This window comes from Homo sapiens, chromosome 1, assembly GCF_000001405.40.
Source record: "Homo sapiens chromosome 1, GRCh38.p14 Primary Assembly".
In the NCBI taxonomy this organism is placed as follows: Eukaryota; Metazoa; Chordata; class Mammalia; order Primates; family Hominidae; genus Homo; species Homo sapiens.
In genome coordinates, this window is record NC_000001.11 from 159,979,542 (window position 1) to 159,987,564 (window position 8,023).

The 8,023-nt window shown below is 46.0% G+C and overlaps 1 protein-coding gene across 1 annotated transcript in view; it reads right to left on the bottom strand.

Moving 5' to 3' along the window:
- SLAMF9 (SLAM family member 9) overlaps positions 1-4,443 on the bottom strand; it is a 32,493-nt gene extending 28,050 nt beyond the window's left edge. Inside the window, exon 1 of the mRNA XM_017002756.2 lies at positions 3,601-4,443. Within this exon, the coding sequence (XP_016858245.1) occupies positions 3,601-3,606 (6 nt within the window). The 5' untranslated portion in view covers positions 3,607-4,443. The remainder of the gene's footprint in view (positions 1-3,600) is intronic.
- Positions 4,444-8,023: the final 3,580 nt, after the last annotated feature.

Sequence of the window (8,023 nt, forward strand, 5' to 3'; positions counted from 1 at the left end):
AAAAGGCAATAGTTAAAAGTCAAGGTACGGTAGACAAAAAAAATATTTTCTTGACTGGAAGAGATCTTCATGAGACTCTTTACCATGAATTACCTAGAGAAAATAACGTAAGGCAATCTTTTTTTTTTTTTTCACTTTAATTCAACTCAACAAAGATGTATTTAATTCTACTATATGTAAGTAAAACTGAAGACATAGAGTTGCATAAAACAGTTCTGTCCCCAGACAGTCTAGCCATGCAGGACAAAACACGTATGGAGACACAAAGCGAAGTGTCAGGTTGCTGTGAGAGTTTAAAGAAGGGAGATAGCCCATCCTGTTGGAGGTCTCACCAATAGCATTGAGAAGGGATTTGGAGGCAGCCATAAATTAATAAACTGTACATGAAGGAACTGGCTCAGAGATTGAAAATCACAGGACGTTTTAGGAAACTTTGGGTGGTGAGGTCTGGATGGAGCACAGAATCGGCGTGGGGAGTTAGAGGAAAATTAGGGTCGGGGAGAAGATTGGGATGCTCTGAGCAAAACCAAGGCAAAGGAAGTTTAAGGCCAATCAGCAACGTGTGTCTTCCATCCTTTTCCTTTTCTTCTGCTGTGGAGGGTTCATCCCTCTCCAGCCAACAGAACAATGATTCTGAACACACTCCCAAGAGGGACTTCTGGGCTGCAGGCACCTCCCCACGGTGGGCTGTGCACTTGGACCTGCTCCTGTCAGGGGGACTCGCCTTCTCATCTGGCTTGGTGCCCATCCTCCTGAGACCCCTCTTCCCAGCCTCTTCCCCTCTGCCACATCCCCCGACGCCCTCCACCAGCCTTGTACCTTTCGTTCCTTTACCTCATGGCTGAAAGTGACTGGTGGTAGAAAGACACCCAACCTCACTGCCCAAGTGCCCACCCACTTCCTTCACTGATGGGCAACAGAGATCCCTGAGGAGCAAGGGCTAAAGTGGGTTTAATTTCACCTCATGTCAGAGCTCAGCCCTATTTAATGCTTACTGTTCACTCTATTTTTTTTTTTCAGATGGAGTTTCAATCTTGTTGCCCAGGCTGGAGTGCAATGGTGCGATCTCAGTTCACCGCAACCTCCGCCTCCCAGGTTCAAGTGATTCTCCTGCCTCAGCCTCCTGAGTAGCTGGGATTACAGGCATGCGCCACCATGCCCGGCTAATTTTATATTGTTAGTAGAGATGGGGTTTCTCCATGTTGGTCAGGTTGGTCTCGAACTCCCGATCTCAGATGATCCACCCGCCTCAGCCTTCCAAAGTGCTGGGATTACAGGCGTAAGCCACCGTGCCCAGCCTTACTACTGTTCACTCTCTAATGCTTTCCCTGCTCTCTTCCATCACTCTCTGCATGTTGGCATCTCTTGGACCCACCTGACTTTCTTTGCGTCACACGCAGAAGCAGAACTCACAGGAAGGAGAAGCCTGCATACACTAAGGGACCAGGGCTCTTGATGTGTGAGAGGGCAGTGGAGGCAGCATATCTCTTACCTTCTGTGATGGGCTGAATTGTGGCCCCCAAAACTCCTATGCTGCAGCCCTGACCCCCGTATCTCGGAATGTGATTGTATTTGGAGACAGGGTATTTTAAAGAGTAATCAATTTAAAATAAGGCCATTAGGGTGGGCCCTAATCCATTCTGATTGGTGTCCTTATAAGAAAAGGAAACCAGGACACAGATGCACATAGAGGGAAGACTGTGCGGAGACACAAGGAGAAGACAGCCATCTACAAGCCAAGGAGGGAGGCCTCAGAAGAAACCAACCCTGCTGACCTTTGACTTTAGACTTCCAGCCTCCAGATATATGAGGAAATTAACTTCTGTTGTTTAAGCCACCTGGTCTGTGCCATGTGTTACAGCAGCCTGAGCTGACTCCTGCATCTGCCAAGCCTGTGATGTCCTCAAGAAAAGCGGAGGACAACTTCTGGCCCCAACCAAGAAAGGAGCAAGGGCAGCAACCTCACAAGCCAGAGGGGAAACAGCCTTCCCAGACCAGGGGGTGCTGGCAAACAAGGCAAGCTCCTCTTTTCCATCTGCTTTCCATTCTCCCGTGACTGGCCTTAGAGCAGACTGTGCTGCTGCAGGCATCTCTGTGCTGTCAGGGAGTGTGCTCAGGTCTCCCTTCAAGAGAACCTGGTGCAAGAAGCCTCCAGCCTCCTGCTGCTATATTTTGGTTGTGTTGGGTGTTCACACTGCCCCATGCTGCTCCCAGCCAATGACTGAGCACAGAGGGTGCCAGAAACAGGGCTAGAAACAGGCCACTGTGCCTGATGTGAGGCCTCGCTAAGAGGCGAGCTCTGTTCTGGGACACTAAGCCTGGCGGGGACATCCTGGAGCTGCACCACAGTTTGAGGATCATCCTACCTGATCCTCTTCCCAGCCTGCTCTCCTTTCCCAGGTGTCTGACCTGCACTGCAGTCTGAAGTCTCTCCTGACCACTCCTTCTGCCCGCTCTTCATCCTTCACAGGTGTGGTGTTTCCCACAATGCCTCTGCAGGTCTAATCTTGTCTTGGCCTCTGCTTCTCAACAAATCTGGCTGCCCCTAGTTGTCCTTCCTTCAATTCATCCTCCACACTGTTAGAGTCCTCCTCCTTTCTAAAGTCCAGATCTGATCTTGTCACGCTCTGCTTCCATTCTTTCCAAGATGTCTGTTTACTTACAAGATAAATTAGAAGCTTATGTCTCTTGAGACTCAGCCTGTGCTCAACTGTCCACTCTCTTATTCCCTACCCAAGGCCCCATCTTGACAGCCACATGGAACTATCTACACTCTAGTCTAAACGTCAATGCCGCTTCACATCAAGGCCTGTGGACATATAACGCCTCCTTTTTGGAACATCTTTCTCCATTCTCATCACCCCTTCCTGCCGCACACTCACTCACTCATACACACACACTTCTCCCAGTGATCTTTAAATTCCTATTAAGATCCATGCAAATGTTCCCTTCTCGATAGAGGTTTCCTGGACACACCCAAGCAGAGGAAATCATGCCTCTCTTTGTGCTATTTTTAGCACTTACTAATATCTCTTATGACATTTATCAAACTGTCCCACAATTCTTTGTCTTTTAGGGAAGCCTTTAGGGTAGGCATAAAGTCATTTCTGTATCTCCAACACTAGCATAGTACATCGTGTAATGTTAAGTATGTCTATATGGGTACATATGCATACACACACATGTGTGTAGGAAACATAACGACATGGCTGGGCGCGGTGGCTCACGCCTGTAATCCCAGCACTCTGGGAGGCTGAGGTGGGAGGATCACGAGGTCAAGAGATGGAGACCATCCTGGACAACATGGTGAAACCCCGTTTCTACTAAAAATACAAAACTTAGCTGGGTGTGGTGGCACGTGCCTGTAGTCCCAACTACTTGGGAGGCTGAGGCAGGAGAATCGCTTGAACCCGGGAGGCAGAGGTTGCAGTGAGCTGAGATTGCACCACTGTACTCCAGCCTGGTGACAGAGTGAGACTCCGTCTCAAAAAAATAAAAAAAGAAAAAAAGAAACATATCAACATTAGAGTTTCTAGCTTATATCCCAATATCTTGGCCATTCATTAGAACCCTGGTTAGGCTCCTCTCTTATCAACTTACCCTCATGACCAGCTTCTGCCTCCTGTTCCCATCAGAGGAGGTTTAAGGCCAATTAGCAACATGTGTCTTTCATCCTTTTCTTTTCTTCTACTGTGGAGGTTCATCACAGCACTTCTATCAGTTCACCAGATGAAAGAGGCATCCATCTGTGCCTCTTCATCTGTTGGTTGTAATGCAGCACATATGATAAGTGGGTATTGAGTGGACCTGGACTGGAGTCACAATCACTGATTATGTGCTGGAAGTCAGAGGGGGACAGGGAAAGTCCCCCTTTCCTAGGAAAAGGGTCCTCAAGTTGCCAAGAAAAGCAAGAGATCAAATTCCCCCGAGGAGTGGATTTCTGACCACTCCTTGGTTTGTTTTTTGTTTTTGTTTTGTTTTGTTTGTTTTTTGCTTGAGTTAATTTAAGTTAGTTTCTATTACTTGCAACTAAGAAGTTTTAATGAATTCACTTGAAATACTATTGTTAGGAAGGAAACAACTTGCTTGAGAGGTCAAGCTTAGGCTGAAAGTCAACATTGGCCAAGGCACTTAGAGAGCAATTAATCCTCGTGGCAAGGCAGGGATGGGGTGGAGGGGATAGATGATTCCTAAGGTCCTTTCTAAGAGGATAAGAGTGCTTCCCCTGGTCAGTGGTTCTGGCTAGTCTCCTCCCTCCCTTCAAAATGCGAAGCAAAAGGCAGGGAGAAGGTCTCCTTGCAGATCTTCAGCTCTCTCAGGGAAAGAGACCCACGTCACTCCCAGCAGAGTCCTGCATGGCAGCAAGGGGCCAGGGCGGAAGAAGAACAAAAGACACCTGGAGAAGAAAGGCAGTGCCTTTCCCTGCAGCAGCCAGGGCTGCAGATATGATGGAGCAGGGGAGATGGTCTCTTCTAGAGCAGCATGAGCCGAGTTACACAGATGATGTAAGGAAGAAGTAGAGAAACTGCAGTCTCAGCTCAGAGTTTTCCTTACATGCTTGTGAAAATAAAGTCACCCTCTGTTGCAGGCTGAATAATGGCCCCCCAGGATGTCCACATTCTAATCCCTGGAACCTGTCCATGTTTTATTATATGGCAAAAGAGACTTTGTAGATGTGATTAAATTAAGGCTCTTGAGATTGGGAGATTATCCTGGATTATCAGAGTAGGCTTGATGTAATCACAAGAGTCCTTCTAAGAGAAAAGCAGGATGCAGCCCCCTGATGACAGAAGCAGAGAGGAAAGCAGAGTTGGAGACAGAAGACGCTATGCTATTGGCTTCCTAAAGACAGAGGAAAGGGCCACAAACCAAAGAATACACTTGTATTCTTCAGTAAATAGCAGCTGCCTTGGAGTGTTGCTTGATTCAATACATGTAATAGTAATCGTTCAATAAATGCTTGCTATTATACCCTTGGATGTCTTAGAGCTGCACTGTCCAATATGGTAGCCACAAGCCACATGTGACCATTCGACACAGGTGTGGATTTTCCGAATTGAGGTATGCTGTATGTGTAAAATAACACACCAAAATTCAGATACTGAGTACAAAACAAAGAATGTAAAATAGCTCAGTAATCTTAATATTAATTATTTGTTGAAATAACATTTTTAACACATCCAATTAAATAAAATATATTAAAATTAAATTTCACCTTTTTTTAGTGTAGCTACTAGAAACTTTAAAATTCTATATGTTGCTCACATTATATTTCTTTCAGACAGTGCTCTTTTGAGTCTCTGACCCGTTACTGAATAGAACAGTCTAGAAGCAAGCCCTACACATTTAGGGAAAGTGATGTCATACACTGACTTCTTTACAGTCACCCCGGTACTCATCTGCTCCTTGGGCTCTGAATTTCTACAATGCTGACTGAGGAACATCCCCGAGCACACCGTTAATTCTGGACTGACAGGTACAACTAAACCAAGAGAGGGAATTCAGTTGGCCTCAGAGACAACACAGGCCCCTGCACCAGGACAGAAGGAAGTAATCGCTCCTTTCTCTTTTAAATGTCCAATAAGTTCAGAGCACCACACCCCCACACAGTGCCTCAGTGGGCACCTGTACGTACACTCCATGAGGTGGCTATTCCTTTAATCCCTACCATCTGCTCCAAAATGTTTATCCAACAGTTTGCCATGGTGCTTGAACTTCTATCATTTGGGTGCCTCTTTGGAACAGGAAATTTAACTCTGTCTGGTGACCGTGCACAGGATTTATAGCTGTTGAGCCTCAGGAGCCATCAGGAACTGAGCTTGCTTTCTTTCCTTCTCTGGCCCTGCCCATTCACTTTCTGTCCAAGAGTGGCCCTAAACCAGAAGAAACCTCCCAACTCCCTTCTCCTGATAGTCCCTAAAGACCACACACATGGTCTGCTTCCTTATGAAAGGCTCCACTGCCAATCACTGCAGTGATACTGATGACAAAGGATGGCAACAATAACAAAGCTAGGCAAGCTTCAAGGGCTCCAGAATCTTACTCAGGTATCTCAGCCACGAGCCCGGGTCTAGGGGGACTGAAAGGGACTTTGGCCACTGCCATTATTCTTGAGAGTGGAGCTCTCCACCCAGTGCCTGAAAGTAAAGGAGATGCGGGTTCAGCCCATTCTCCACTTTGTAGGCGTGAAGATGCAGCAGAGGCAGAAGAACAGCTGCTGCCCTCAGGGACAAGTGTGCAATTTCTACCTAAGAGGCCTCTAGGCTGCGTGATGTGCATTTCACAGGTTCTCGGCCTCTACCTCTTGATGTTCCTCACAATGTCCACTAAAAACTGTGTTTCTAATTAAAAATAGAATTACCATAAGATCCAGCAATTTCATTATTGAGTATATACCCGAGAGAATTGAAATCAGGGACACAGACAGATATTTGTACACCCATGTTCATAGCAGCATTATTCAAAATAGCCAAAAGGTAGACACAACCCAGTGTCCTTCGACAGATGGATAAACAGGATGTGGTATATACATACAATTGAATATTATTCAGCCTTAAAAGGGAAGGAAATTCTGATAAATGCTTCAACACGGATGGACCTTGAGGACCTAATGCTAAGCAAAAAAGCCAGACACAAAAGGATAAATATTGTATCACTCCATTTATATGACGTACCTTGACTAGTCAATTTCACAAAGACAGAAAGTAGGTTAAGGTTGCCAGGAGCTGGGCAAGGGGTCACTGGGGACCAATTTTTTGATGGGTACAGAGTTTAAAGGGCAAGATAAAAAGAGTTCTGGAGATGGACAGTGGTGATGGTTGCACAACTATGTGAATGTACTCAATGCCACTGAAATGTACACTTAAAAATGTACATTGTAAATGGTAAATTCTGTTATGTGTATTTTATCACTTTTTTAAAAGTACCTCTAATTTTTTAAAAATCTGTTCTTATAACATTTCTAACCAGAGCCAGGTTGCAATCAAATATGTTTTCAAGTATACCAATTTGAGAAAACTCATTCCCCACTCCTCACACTCCCTAATGGAAGAACCTCCACCAGGGAAACCCCCTACCCCCACCAAACTCTCTCAGTTCTAGGCACTCCTCCCCAAGGGTGGGCTTCATTCAGATGTGCCTTTGTCTCTCCTTAGAATCTGCTGGCCACCTGGGAGGTGCATACTTATCTGATCTCAGGGGCCTGGATGCTTCCACCCAGAACCCACAGGGGAGGCCTGCACTTTGGCAATAAGTTTACATCAGGGGCTGTTAGCAAGGCAAGCACATGTGGGTGCATGCCTGACATCAGATTCTGTTAGTAATAAAGCTGATAGTTTTATTACCATCTTCTTGACTACTGATAATAAGGAGATGAGATCACGGTTATCAGGACCTATGAACTTGGAGAAAAGTCTTTAACCACCGAGTTAAGTTCCCTCTAATTCTCTTTATCAAGAACTTTGATTCAGAACCAGGCCAGAAAGAAAAAAGGTCTTATTCATTGATTCCCTAAAATCCAAGCATGACCAGTGTTAGACCAGAAAGTGAAGTCCAGGGTTTTCCGCTGGACCTAAGTTTCAGCAGCCTTGTCTAAGGAAGGTGGTTACTAAATGCTGGTTATTAAGCTATTGTCTCTAGGATCTAAATCTACCCTTTTGCACTTGTTTTGTGATGCTGGATCCAGGACTCTGGTAAGCATATTTCTCCATTGCCAGCTTGCTCGCTGTCAGGTTCTGCTGACAGGGATGTTGGAGAGAGACTGGAAGGCAAGAGAAGGAAGAACTGTCCTTCCTATCAGCTGGCTACTCCTGGCAATAGGCCCAGGAATGGTCCTTCATCCTAGCAGCAGGTTGTCCCAGTCACCAGCTTCTTTTAGCGCCCTCAAAACAAGCCTCATGACACCTCCTCAGAAGGACCGTGTGAGTGAGGCAGCACCCACTCTACAGAGATCTGAGCTCTGCAGGGCCCCTCCGTGATAAACAGAATCAGTCAGAGGGGGACTTAACTCAGTGGCTAAGGACTT